General features: G+C 37.2%; 1 protein-coding gene and 1 long non-coding RNA gene across 6 annotated transcripts in view; one reads left to right on the top strand and one right to left on the bottom strand.

The window, feature by feature from the left end:
* TSHR (thyroid stimulating hormone receptor) overlaps window positions 1–14911 on the bottom strand; it is a 190686-nt gene that overhangs the window by 86599 nt on the left and 89176 nt on the right. The gene's annotated exons all lie outside the window — the stretch shown is intronic.
* TSHR-AS1 (TSHR antisense RNA 1) overlaps window positions 1–14911 on the top strand; it is a 156341-nt gene that overhangs the window by 110699 nt on the left and 30731 nt on the right. For all 3 annotated transcript variants that reach the window (XR_001751022.2, XR_007064290.1, XR_001751018.3), the window contains one exon: window positions 5892–13784. This is a non-coding gene — a long non-coding RNA (TSHR antisense RNA 1). The remainder of the gene's footprint in view (window positions 1–5891; window positions 13785–14911) is intronic.

Genomic DNA, 14911 nt, shown 5'->3' with positions numbered 1-14911 from the left:
TCTCAGAGCATCTGTCTTAGTAATAATACAATATGCACAGTAAATCAAACAAAATTGAAGTTGAGGGTGCTAGCAATCAGCCTGAGATAAAAATAATGTCTCCTTTTTGAATAAATTCAGTTAATATCATGATAACACGCTGGGACAAAATACTGATTTCAATAATGTTAAATGAATTATTAGAATGACAACTAGTTGTATAGATTGCCAAATTCAATTGCAATTTAACAGTTCATACATTTTGCCTGGATATTTTCATAGTAATGTGCGCATAATCTAAAAAAATACACAATTGAGTTTGTGTAAATTTTGTTGACTTTTGGTATAAATTGCCTTGGTTGCCTCTCTAAAATTCATCATATTAGCTTAAGCTCTCCTTTAATTTCTTTTCTGGCTTTTAACATGTGATTAGTTTGATTGAGCTTATGAAAACATTTAAAAGGAGTTTTCTTCTAAGGTATCTATTTCCCTTCAAATAAAGAACAAAAATAATTAGTGAGGGCATGGCATCTAGGAAATTAAATAAAGACATCATATTTATTTAGAGAGCATCTGCTCCATTTTTCCCTAATAGTTCAACCTTACAATAAGGGTTGTGGGGAAAATTTATTGTAATATGTGGATGCCTCATGACCCCCAGACACATGTGCTCCGGCATGCACATAACCTTTGTGGAGGTTTTGTGGTTGTTTTGATTTGCAGTAGTTTTGTGGCTAGAGTTAATTTATAGAATGTTTGTCATCTATCTGTTTTTATCCCTCCATCTAGGGGCAAGGGGCTGGATGTTCTTTCTATTATCTACCTTTTCAAGAGAAGGCCTTTTACTCAAAGAATCTTGTGATATTGTGATTACTGCTTTAAATGCAAATGAAAGAAAAAACACCAAGTGAATGTGTTTATTTTATAGAAATATTTTATTTTAATTTCAGAATACATTTTGAATATTTATGGAAAAGGCAAAGTACACATCTACATGTGTATTCTTTTGACAAAAATATTAGAAAATCTTCAAAGTGCTTCACTTTTGTCCAAAGAATTTGCATCGCAATAGAATTTGTTTCTAATGAAAATATGCTAGGTACTGAAGAGGCTGTTTTTTATTTGCCTTTGATAATTCACAATAAGAAGACAATGATGATTCTTTCTAAAATATGAGAAAAAAACCTCACCTCATACAAATAGTACATCTATTTACTATTAACGATTAAGGCATCATATGTAACTCATTGGGAAAATAGTTCACAGCTATAGTCTTGTATCCTATGTGGAGAATGCACATTTTATGGTTAAAGAAGTTGGCTTCAAGATATAGAAATTATGTGAGAGAAAAGATATAAGCTGAGTTTGCAATTCCAATTTGTTTTGCTGTGATTTCTTTAATCAAGAATGACCATTGGAGGTATGACAAATGTTTCCTTTGGGCCTTGCTGAGGCAAGATTTATATCTGTCAAATGTCTGCCTTAGGAAAATATAATGTAGAAATTGACATGCATGTAAACCATGACTGACTGACTTGCAGATTTTGCAGGTAGAACCCAGTTTTAAGTACTCTCTTTTTGGTTCTTGCAGTAGCAATGGGGGAGAGAAATATGGTTAATGTAAAGAGAGCTGACAGTTCTTTGTTCCAAACAAGAGCAGTTGGTACAATTAAACTTTTCACAGTAATCTTGCATGATACTAGGCTTAGTTGACTGAAATTTCATCAACATGTAAATCCAATCAACATTCCAACATCTTGTTTCTTACACAGTTTCTGGAATCTTAAACACATAGCTTGTGTTGCATATGTGCATATATAGGTGTGGGTTCTAACACATTTCTCACTATAGCCCCTACCTCATGACCATGTCTGAATTGTACTGAGTTGAGGAGGCTGGCTGATCTTCTTTGCCGTGGCAGAGACTGTGTGGTCCAGAAACACCAAACTTCCCACTTGTGTGTCCTATTTGCCTCCTGGCAAACAGGCTGAGAGTATTTTGTGATTCTGCGTGTTTGTATAATATCAATGTCATCTTCATCTTAAGGGCCTCTTGTATTAACCACCTGTGTCAATCAATCAGCCAGTATTTCACTGAGGTGTACCAAGTATATTTCACTGAACTATTCTATGTGAGTATAGAAAGTATTCATAGTAGAAAAAGAGGGAATTGGTAAAAATAATCCATATTTTTTATATTGTGAAGTTGTGGATTACAAATTAGGCAATATTAATACAATTTAATGTGACATTTATCACTTGCCTTGTGTTCTTATTTTGGTGAGAATAAATCCTTTTTTCTTTTCTTTTTTCTTTTTGAGATGGAGTTTCACTCTTGTCACCCAGGCTGGAGCACAGTGGTGCAATCTTGGCTCACTGCAACCTCTGCCTCTGGGGTTCAAGCGATTCTCCTGCCTCAGCCTCCTGAGTAGCTGGTATTACAGGCACCCACCACCACACCCAGCTAATTTTTGTTTTTTCAGTAGAGACGGGGTTTCACCATGTTGACCAGGCTGGTCTCAAACTCCTGACCTCAAGTAATCCACCTGCCTTGGCCTCCCAAAGTGCTGGGATTACAGGTGTGAGCCACTGCACCCAGCCAAGAATAAATTTTCATTGGTGAATTTGTTTTACTGTTGTGCATTAAGAAAATACTCTGTGGCAAACTGTGAAAGAATACAGCAAGCATAGGATTTAAAATCAGGGGTGTAGACCCACAAGGATCATGCAGTTAAACACTTGGGACTATTTGCATATAGACTATTTTTTAAAATAAAATAATTTTAACTTGTCATTCTCTTGTGTTTTGTATTTTGGGTGGTATAGTAAATTTTAGTCAGTGTTGCTGCTAAATTATTTACAAATGATACAAAAATATCAGGTGATATGATGTCTACAATGCAAGGTGTGACACTGCAGCTGAAATAGAATGGCATACTGGCCAGAATCCAAGTGGATTTGTGAGTTATTATGTAGGGTCAAACAGAGTTTTGATTTGGGCTTTTTTTGTGTGTGATCTGAACCCCAGAAACTCAAGCAATAGCTTGATAAGTTTGACTTATGGAAATTGCTCAGCTTAGGCCATCTGGGAGAGAGTTGTCTATTCACAAGTATTGGTTTAGGTCTCCAAATTGTTGAAAATATTAAATTTGGTTTCATTTCATTATTTAGCATAATTTTTTGTATTGAAGCTATTTTTCACAGTTCTTTATTAAGGCATACTTTACGCCCAGTGAGATGCACAAGTCTACAATGCATATTTATATACTTCGGTGTATATAAGTATACTTATACTTTACATATATGTATGCATATATGTACACATAAACCCATGAGACCAGGGCCTGGATCAAAATATAAAATATTTCCATCATCCCGAAAGTTTCCTGTGTAGTTTTCCAATCAGGAATTGTATTAGTTCATTTTCACGCTACTGATAAAGACATACCCGAGACTGCGAAGAAAAAGAGGTTTAATGGACTTACAGTACCATGTGGCTAAGGAAGCCTCATAATCATGGCAGAAGTCAAGGAGGAGCAAGTCATGTCTTACATGGATGGCAGCAGGTAATGAGAGAGAGCTTGTGCAGGGAAACTCCCATCTTTAAAATCATCGGATTTCATGAGGCTTATTCACTATCATGAGAACAGCACAGGAAAGACCTGCTCCCATGATTCAATTTCCTCCCACTGAGTCCCTCCCACAACATGTGGGAACTCAAGATTTGGGTGGGGACACAGCCAAACCATATCATTCCACCCTGGCTCCTCCCAAATCTCATGTCCTTATGTTTCAAAACCAATCATGCCTCCCCAACAGTCTCCCAAAGTCTTAACTCATTTCAGCATTAACTCAAAAGTCCACAGTCCAAAGTCTCATCTGAGACAAGGCAAGTCCCTTCAACCTATGAGCCTGTAAAATCAAAAGCAAGCTAGTTACTTCCTAGATACAATGCAGATACAAGTATTGGGTAAATACAGCCATTCCAAATGGGAGAAATTGGCCAAAACAAAGGGGCTACAAGTCCAAAAAGTCAGCAAGTCTGAAATACAGCAGGACAGTCAAATGTTAAAGCTCCAAAACGATCTCCTTTGACTCCATGTCTCACATCCAGGTCACACTGATGCAAGGGTTGAGTTCCCATGGTGTTGGACAGCTCTGCCCCTGTGGCTTTACAGGGTACAGCCTCCCTCTCAGCTGCTTTCATGGGCTAGTGTTGAGTGTCTGTAGATTTTCCAGGTGCATGGTGCAAGTGGTCTGTGGATCTACCATTCCGGGGTCTGGAGGATGGTGGCCCTCTTCTCACAGTTCCACTAGGCAGTACCTCAGTGAGGACTCTGTGTGGGGGTGCCCACCCCAAATTTCCCTTCTGCACTGCCTTAGCAGAGATTCTTCATGAGTGCCTCACCCCTGCAGCAAACTTCTGCCTGGACATCCAGGCATTTCCATATATCCTTTGAAATCTAAGAGGAGGTTCCCAAACCTCAATTCTTGACTTCTGTGTACCCACAGGCTCTATACCATGTGGAAGCTGCCAAGGCTTGGGGCTTGCATCCTCTGAAGCCATGGTCTGAGCTGTATCTTGGCCCCTTTTAGTCACAGCTGGAGCAGCTGGGATGCAGGTTACTAAGTCCCTAGAGTGCACACAGCAGAGGGAACCTAGGCCCAGCCCACCATGCCATTTTTTCCTCCTAGGCCTCTATGTCTGTGATGAAAGGGGCTGCCACAAAGTTGTCTGACATGCCCTGGAGACATTTTTCCCATTGTCTTGGGGATTAACATTCAGCTCCTCATTACTTATGCAATTTTCTGCAGCTGGCTTGAATTTCTCCTCAGAAAATGGGATTTTCTTTTCTGTTGCATTGTCAGGCTGTGAATTTTTTGAACTTTTATGCTTGGTTTCCTTTTTAAAACTGAATGCCTTTAACAGCACCCAAGTCACATCTTGAATGCTTTGATGCTTAGAAATTTCTTCCACCAGATATATAGAGATATATATACCCTAATCATCTCTCTCAAGTTCAAAGTTCCACAAATCTCCAGGGCAAGGGCAAAATGCTGCCAGTCTCTTTGCTAAAACATAACAAGAGTCACCTTTGCTCCAGTTCCCAACAAGTTCCTCATCTCCATCTGAGACCATCTCAGCCTAGATTTCATTGTCCATGTCATTGTCAGCATTTTGGTCAAAGCATTCAACAAGTCTCTAGGAAGTTCCAAACTTTCCCACATTTTCCTGTTTTCTTCTGAGCCCTCGAAACTGCTCTAGCCTCTGCCTGTTACCCAGTTCCAAAGTCGCTTCCACATTTCAGGTATCTTTTCAGCAGCAACCCATTCCCAGTACCAATTTACTGTATTAATCCATTTTCACACTGCTAATAAAGACATACCCAAGACTGGGAAGAAAAAGAGGTTTAATGGACTTGCAGTTCACATGGCTGAAGAGGCCTCACAATCATGGCGGAAGGCAAGGAGGAGCAAGTCACATCTTACATGGATGGCAGCAGGCAAAGAAAGACAACTTGTGAAGGGAAACTCCTGTTTTTAAAACCATCAGATCTTGTGAGACTTATTCACTATCATGAAGACAGCACAGGAAAGACCTGCTCTCATGACTCAATTATTTCCCACCAGGTCCCTCCCACAACATGTGGGAATTCAAGATGAGATTTGAGTGGGGACACAGTCAAACTATATCAGCAATCCTGCTCTTCTATAGGATAACTACTATTCTGACTTCTATCATCACAGATTTCTTGTTTATTAACTTCACATAAATAATCAAAAATTAGCCACTTTTCTGCCTTGCTTCTTTTATTCAACATAATGTTTCTGAGACAAATCTATGTTATTACATGTATCAGTAGTGATTTTTATTGCTAATTATGAATATGCATTTTTTTGTTCATTCTCCAGTTGATGGTTGTTTCTAGTTTGGGGCTATTATGAAGAAAGCTGCTATGAAGAACATCCATGTACAAATCATTTTATGGACACACATACTCATTGCTCTTGGGTAAATATCTAGGAATATGATTTATGGATCATAGGTAAGTGTATACTTAACTATCACAAAAACTTCCAGTTTCCAAAGTGATTGTAACATGTTCACTCATACCAGTGATCTATAGGAGTTCCAGTCAACTCTACATCCTCACCAACACCTGGTGTTATCAGTGTTTTAACTTGTAGTCACACAAGTAGGTATGTTTCCGTCAGCATTCTTGATTGGTATTTGTAATTTGCTAAAGGATTTGGAGAAATGCACAGCTAAGTTAAAAATGTCTATTTGTGTACACAAGTATAATGCTTAATTTTATGTGTTAGCTTGATTGGGTCATGGGATATGAAGATATTTGCTTAAACATTATTTCGTGTTGTGTCTGTGAGGATGTTTCTGGATGAGATTGACATTTGAATTGGTAAACTCAATAAAGCAGCTTGCCCTTCCCAATGTGAATGGGCCTCATCCAATCAATTGAAGGCTCAGTAAGAAAAATTATTTATCTCTGCTTGTCTTTAAGCTGGGATATCAATTTTCTTTGCTTTCAGACTTGGACTAAATTCTACACCACAGGCTCTCCTGGTTCTCAGGCCATTGGATTCAAACCAGAATTTATACCATCAGCTCTCTTGGTTCTCAGGACTTTCAACTTTGACTGATACTATACCTTTGGCTCTCCTGGGTCTTCAGTTTTCCAACTGCTTCTCTTGAGCCTCTTAGCCTCCATAATCATGTGAACCAATTCTTTACAGTACAGTACAAATCTCTCTCCCTCTCCCTCTCCCCTCCCTCAGCCCCCTAAATTTGTTAGAACTGATGAATAAAATTCAGTAAAGTAGGTTACAAAATCAACATACAAAATTTAATAGTGTTTCTATATGGTAACAATGAACTATCTGAAAAAAATTAAGAAAACAATTCCATTTGCAATAGCTATAAAAAATAAGATACTCTGGAGTAAATTTAACCAAGGAGGAGAAGAACCTATACACTGAAAACTATAAAACATTGATAAAAGAAATTGAAGACACAAAGAAATGGAAAGATATTCTGTGTTCATGAATTGGAAGAATTAATATTGTTAAAATGTCTATACTACCCAAAGTGATCTCCAGATTCAGTGCAATCCTATCAAAATTCCAATGTCATTTTTCACAGAAATAGAACAACCTTAAAATTTGTATGGAGCCACAATAGACCCTGAATAACCAAAGCAATCTCGAGCAAAAATAACAAAGGTTAAGGCGTTAAACTACCTGATTGCAAAATACATCACAAAGTTATAGTAACCAAAACTGCAGGGTACTGCCATAAAAACAGACACATCAATGAATCGAATAGGGTAGAGAGTCCCCAGATAAACGCACATATCTGTGGTCAATTGATTTTCAACAAAGGTGCCAAGAACACACAATGAGGAAAGAACAGTCTCTTCAATAAATGGTGTTAGAAAAAGTGGCTATCCACATGCAGAAAAATAAAATTGGAACTTTATCTCTCCCTTGATAGTAGAATCAACTCAAGATGGGTGAGACTCTTAAATGTAAGATCTGAAACTGTAAAACTCATAAGAGAAGACTAGGAGAAAAGCTCCTTGACATTGGTCTGGGCAATTATTTCATGGGTATGTCCCCCAAAGCAGAGGCAACAAAAGCAAAATTAGACAATTGGGATTGCATCAAACTAAAAAATCTTTTGCATGGCAAAGGAAGCCATCAACAGAGTGAAAAGAAAACCTGCAGATTGGGAGAAAATATTTGCAAATATATTGTCAAAGGGCCTCATTTTGATAAGGGACTCATATCAAAAATATATAAGGAACTCAAATGACTCAATAAAACATATACTCGTATTAAAAATGGGCAAATGACATGGATAGACACTTCTCAGAAGAAGACATATAAATGGCCAACAGATATAGTTAAAAATGCTCAACATCACTACTCAACAGGGAAATGCAAATTAAACCACAATGAGACATCACCCTGCACCTGTAAGTATGGCTGTCATCAAAAAGGTGAATGCTAGCTAGTGTTGGCAAGGATGTAGAGAAAAGGGAACCATCACACACTGTGTTGTGGAAATGTGAATTAGTACAACTATTTTGGAAAAAGTATGAAGGTTATTTAAAAAACTAAAAGTAGAAATACCATATGATCCAGCTATGCCACCCAAAGGAATAAAAATCAGTAAGCTGAAGAAACGTCTGCACTCCACATTCACTGCAGCAGTATTCACAGTTACCAAGACAAGGTAAATTTAAAGCTTTCTGGAAAAGAGTCATCATTCTAGATACCATTAAGAACATTTGTAATCCATGGGAGAAGGTCAAAATTTCAACATTAACAGGAGTTTGGAGGAAGTTAATTCCAACTTCTATGGATAATTTTGAGGGGTTAAAAACTTCAGTGGAGGAAGTAACTACGGATGTGGTGAAAATAGCAAGAGAACTAGAGTTAGAAGTAGAGCCTGAAATGTGACTGAATTGCTGCAATCTCATCATGAAACTTTATTCGATAAGGAGTTGCTTCTTATGAATGAGCAAAGAAAGTGGTTTCTTGAAATGGAATCTAGTCCAGGTGAAGATGCTGTGCGTATTGTTTAAATGACAACAAAGAAATTTAGAATATTACATAAACTTAGTTGATAAAGCAGAAGCAGGGTATGAGAAGATTGACTCCAATTTTGAAAGAAATTCCACTGCATGTAAAATGCTATCAAACAGCATTGCATGCTACAGAGAAATCTTAGCACTGGTAGACTACACCATGTAGTGTAAACATAATTTTATATGCACCAGAAAACAAAATAAAATTGTGCGACTTACTTTATTGTGATGGTTTGGAAAGGACCCATAAAATCTCCCAAATCTTTCAAAATTGAAAAAAGGGTGGATTTTAAGTGTTCTCATCACAAAGAAATACGTAAGGTGGTGTACATGTTAATTAGCCTGATTTGATCATCCCACAATGTATGCATATATCAAAATATCCTACTGTACCCCATAAATAGATATAATTATTTGTCAATTAAAAATAGTTTTTAACAGAAAAAGTGCATTACTTTACTATTATTATCTTTATAGGATTGTACCTACCACATGGAGTTGCTATGAAGATGTAATAAATTATTATTTGAAGCACTTATAACAATGTTAGGAACATAGTGAACACTAACTAGGTGTTTTAAACAAAAACATAAATCAGTTTGCCAATTTATTGATGATGAGAAATACAACTGTCACATGGGTCTGAATATTCGTGATGGTATGAGCAATTTTTCTTCTCAGCAGACTATTTTAGGGAACCATGAAATATTCAGAAGTTTGCCTGAAATCATGAAATCAATCAAAACAGGAGATGAATCCATTTTAAAAAATGTTCTCAGGCTAAGAGAGCATAGTATTGTTGTTTCATACAAAAAATGACCTTGCCTGAAGGTCTGAACACTGATTTAACTTTCCTTTCTCCTGGACATAGACCGGTTGGGAATTTCCAGAGTTCTCATCTCTGACTCCACTTTTCCTTTGGCTTTATTGCTGATCAATCTCCTGCCTGATGGATGTTTTCTTCGTATTGTAGGGTGTTATTCTGTTTCCCTTAAGAGATTTTATATGTCTTTATTATGATCCATTGTATGTTACTTTAAAAATTTACTTGATTTCATTTGTTTCTAAGTTCTTAGGGAGCATTATAGTGCTCCTTCAATATTACTGGGAACATTTTATTATAAACTGTGTTAGTCTGTTTTTGTACTGCTATAAATAAATACCTGAGACTGGGTAATTGACTCACAGTTCTGCATGGCTTGGGAGGCCTCAGGAAACACAATCATGGCAGAAGGTAGCAGAAGGTGAAGGGCAAACAAGCACCTTCTTCATGGCGGCAGGAGAGAGAGAGCAAAGGGTGAACTGCCGAATACTTTAAAAACCAACAGCTCTTGTGAGAACTCACTATACCAAGAATAGCATGGGGGAAACCGTCCCTGTGATCCAATCACCTCACACCAGATCTCTCCCTTGACACGTGGGGATTACAATTCAAGATGAGACTTGGGTAGGGACACAGAACCAAACCTAGCCTTGGACTGCCATTTAATATGTGTAGTGCTTTTACTTGGTATGTAAATAAAAGAAAAAAACTTAAATGTATCTCTTTGCTCTTCCTCAACCCTCACAGAACCATCTGGGCTTTGAGGAGCACTGTTTAATACCTATATGGTTTTCAAACATTGTTATTTTATGGATGAATAATCTGAAGAAAGGATGAGTGACTCAAATTCATTTAATAAAGTAATAATAGCCAATTTTCCTGCAAGCTTTTCATTATAAAGTACATATAGATATGGTATTCTGAAACTACATAACCATAGACAGATTCCTTCCTTTGCTATGCAGTTTTGATCTAGAAGCATTTCAGGAACCAACACACATTTAGTAGACCACATATATTGAGTGCCTACCATGCTCCAGGCATTATTCAGAGTGCTGGGGTTGCTATGGTAGAGTCAAAGCTTCTGCCTGCCTGAAGCTGAGACCAATGTGGGAGCCAAACATTTTTTTTAAAATCTCACTTTAATAACTATATGCTATGAAGAAATAATACAAGACCTACGTGAGTACAGTACATTCTCACTTAATGTCCTGGTTAGGTTCTTGGAAACTACAATTTTAAGAAAATGATGTATAACAAAACCAATTTTATCATAGGATAATGGATATAAACAAGAGTTAAATTCCTGTGGCATATTTCTGGTCACAAAAACATCACCAAACTTCTAAATAAAGACCAAAACACTTATACTATTAAACATTGAAATAAATGTGAACTATATATACATTTAAGAAAGAAAAATAAAAACAAGATAATGATTTACTCAATTTTCGGTGAATCAGAGAGTGAGGGCAATCATGGTGGTAGATTCAATCAAAGAATAAATGTTTGCAAAATGAACATTGTCAGAAGCACCTCCTACCATCACGCAGTTCAGAAACAAACAACAAATATAGTAATCTCACTAAGCGCTTTCATACTGCATTGTTTATTGTATGATTATCATGTACTTAAAAATTTTTTATTTTATAATAACTTGTATTTATTCATTCATTCATTTTCCAACCTGCTTATTCCAGCTCAGGGTCACTGGTGGCCAGAGCCCATCCTGGCAGCTTGGAGCAAAGTAGGAACCAGCCTTTGACATCATTCCATTACAGGACACACTCGCACATACACCCCTGCACTCATCAGATTGAGACCATTTAGACAGGCCAACGAACCTAGTATGCCCATCTTTGGGATGTGGAAGGAAACCATATTAATAATAACAGAAGAAAGCCCATGTAGATATAGGAAGAATGTGTGAACTTCCCATGGACAGTGATCCCGGCCAGGAATCAATGTTTTTTTTCATCAACATTATAACAAAACGACCTTATTGGAAGATCTGCTGTATATGAGAAGTCCCCATGAAAAAACTGAATTCAGCTGAGACCTGAAGGCTTCTGTTTATGACAGAGTCTAAAGGATATTACAGCTTTAGTGAAGGAAGTAGGGTGATGAGTTGGGAGTCAGGGCTTTCTTAACCTCAACTGAAAAAGGGATAATAATATCCACCCTCCTCATTTATTGTTATGAAGAGAAAGCAAGGTAGATATAAAAGCGAGCTATCTATTGCAAAGTCCTGAGTGAATGTCAGGAATTATAATATATGGGGTCTTAGCTACAATGTTGTCCATAAACATAGCAGGCATTCAGTTAATACTTCTATATAAAAGCCAATGAACAGGCCGGGCGCGGTGGCTCACACCTGTAATCCCAGCACTTTGGGAGGCTGAGGTGGGTGGATCATGAGGTCAGGAGATCGAGACCATCCTGGCTAACACGGTGAAACCCGGTCTCAACTAAAAATACGAAAAATTAGCAGGGCATGGTGGTGGGCACCTGTAGTCCCAGCTACTCGGGAGGCTGAGGCAGGAGAATGGCAGAGCTTGCAATGAGCTGAGATCGTGCCACTGCACTCCAGCCTGGGCGACAGAGCAAGACTGTCTCAAAAAAAAAAAAAAAAAGAGCCAATGAACAAACATGTGTCATCTGTCCAGTGTTCTGGAAAGGAGCTGTCCTTAACAAATGGCAATGTGGGCTTTAGCACAGGGTAACTGTTTTTCTTGGTTTTCACATGCCTTTTGGCAGTTCATAAATTCACCATCTATCGTTACAATTTCAAAGTGTTGTCAGTGAATTTTATTCAAGGAGAAAACACCTAATTGTCTTAAGGCATTTTCAATCCAGTCAGAGCAATGGGCTAGGCATTCAAAAATAGTATGTATATGTTTATCACCTATATATTCTACTCAGACATATGGAATACCATAGTCAAACATTTTGGGGGAGGGGTGTGTGTGTGTGTATTGGTGTCCGTTGTTTGTGCTGTTGTTTATGAGGAAAAAAATAATTTTATTTGAAAAACGGCCAAAAAGCGAGTTCTTCCCATTCTTGATTTGCATTTCAGGTGTCAACACTCCTGCATTAATTTTCCTTTCAGTATGTGTGTTTCAATTATTATACATTGATTTAAAACCACATATTTTCTACCCACTATGCCTGTTTCTTTCTTTCATTTATGTAGATCCAAATTTCTATTTTCTTTCTGTCTTGAAGAACTTCCTTTAATGTGTTTTGTTTTTAGTACAGGTCTGGTGGAAATGACTTCGCTCAACTTTTGCTTATCTGAGGAAGTATTTTTACTTTTAATATGGGAAGACACTTTTACTGGATATACCATTATATGTAGACAGGTTTTTTCCAATACTTTAATGATGTTATTCTGTTGTATTCCAGCCTGTGAAGTTTCTGACAATAAGCCTGTTTCCCTTTTAACCTTCATTCCTTTGTAGGTAATTTGTATTTTTTAAATCTGGCTACTTTTAAGATACTCTCTTTATCACTTGTTTTCAGCAGTTTGATTATGATATGTCCTGGTATCATTTTCTTTATATTTATTCTTCCTGAGATTCATTGAGAGGTTCTTGAATTTATGGGGTTAGAGTTTTTATCAAATTTGGAAAATATATGATTATTGTTGCATTAAAATTTTTCTTTATGTTTTTTTCTCTCTCATTTCCTTCTGGAACTCCAATTACGTATAAGATAGATCACAAGATAGATCACTTGATATTGTCATATGGGTAATTGATGCACTCAATTTTTTTGTTTTTTTTTTATATTTTTTTCCCCTCTCTGGGCTTAATTTTGGCTAGTTTCTATTGTTAAGTCTTTAAGTTCTATTTTTTTCCTCTTCTGTAGTATTCACTGATGTTAATCTCATCCAGTTATTTTCATTTTATATATTTTTAACTTTAGAAGTTCCTTTCAGGTCTTCTTTATGTCTTCCATTTTTCTCACTATGATTATGCATTCTTTTATTTTTTTGAGGTTGTTTAGAAGACTTATAATAGATGTTTTAATGTCATTTCTTGTTAATTCCATCATCTCTGTCATTCTGTGTCTGCTGCTACTAACTCATTTTTCTGTTTGTTCTGGATCATATTTCCTGCCCTTCTCCCTGATTATGGAAGTAAAAACATGGCCACCAATTTCCCTCTTTGGGAATCTGGGCTGGCTTTGATCATTTGCTTGATTATAGAATGTGGCAGAAGTGTGTTCTGAAATTTTGAGGTTACATTAGAGGAAGCCTTGCAGCAAAGTTCCACCTGAGACTAGCATTCAGCCATCCTTATCAAGGCAGCAGACAAGTGAATAATGCCATCTTGGACTCTCCAGAAAAGCCCATTTGTCATCTGAATACCAGTGAGTAAACTCTGATGATGCCATGAGAATGATTCAGCTATCTCTTACCCCAATTCCTGATATACACTATCATTAGAGATGTTAAATTGGTAGTTGTTTTAAACTTTTATATTTTACAGTAAATACTTATGTAGCTGTAGGTAACCAAAATACCCAGTATATGTCCGATATTATTTAGGTAGGTATTTTGTATTTGTGTAATTACCCTGTGGGTTTCTAGCTTCCATAATTATTCAGTAAATGTGAAATTGGTTTGAATTTATGTTTTCATTGAAACAGCAGTGATGATGAAAAAAAACCAAGTGGGAGCTGAATGATGAGAACACATGGACACGTGAGGGGGAACGATGTACACTGGAGCCTGTTGGGGGCCATGGGAGGGAGAGCATGAGGAAGAATAGCTAATTGATGCTGGGCTTAATACCTAGCTGACGGGTTGATAGGTGCAGCAAACCACCATGGCACCCATTTACCTATGCAACAAACCTGCACGTTCTACACGTGTATCCCAGAACTTAAAATAAATAATAATTCTTTCATTGAAGAAAAGCCCAGGATCAGATGGGTTCACTGTGGAATTCTACCAAATGTATAAAGAACTAATACCAATCTTCCCAAAGTGTTTCTAAAAATTGAAGAGGTGGCAATTCTCCCTAATGCATTGTACAAGGCCAACATTACTCTGTTACCAAAACCAGACATGGACATAAGCCCAGCTCTTTTTTCATCTTTCAGCTCCTACTTATAAGTGAGAACATGTGGTGTTTGGTTTTCTCTTCCTGCATCAGTTTGATGAGGATAGTATCTTCCAACTCCATCCATGTCCCTGCAAAGGACATGATCTCATTCCTTTTTATGGCCGCATAGTATTCCATGGTGTGTATGTACCACATTTTCTTTATTCAGTCTGTCATTGATGGGCATTTAGGTTGATTCTACGTCTTTGCTATTGTGAATAGTGCTGTAGTGAATATATGTGTGCATATCTTTGTAATAGAATGATTTATACTACTTTGGGTATATGCTAAGTAATGGGATTGCTGGGTCAAATAGTGTTTCTGCCTCTACATTGTTGAGGAATCACCACACAGTCTTCCACAATAGTTGAACTAACTTACACTCTCACC

The sequence above is a fragment of the Homo sapiens genome, chromosome 14 (assembly GCF_000001405.40).
Source record: "Homo sapiens chromosome 14, GRCh38.p14 Primary Assembly".
NCBI classification, from domain to species: domain Eukaryota; kingdom Metazoa; phylum Chordata; class Mammalia; order Primates; family Hominidae; genus Homo; species Homo sapiens.
This window is presented reverse-complemented; position numbering and strand designations above follow the sequence as displayed.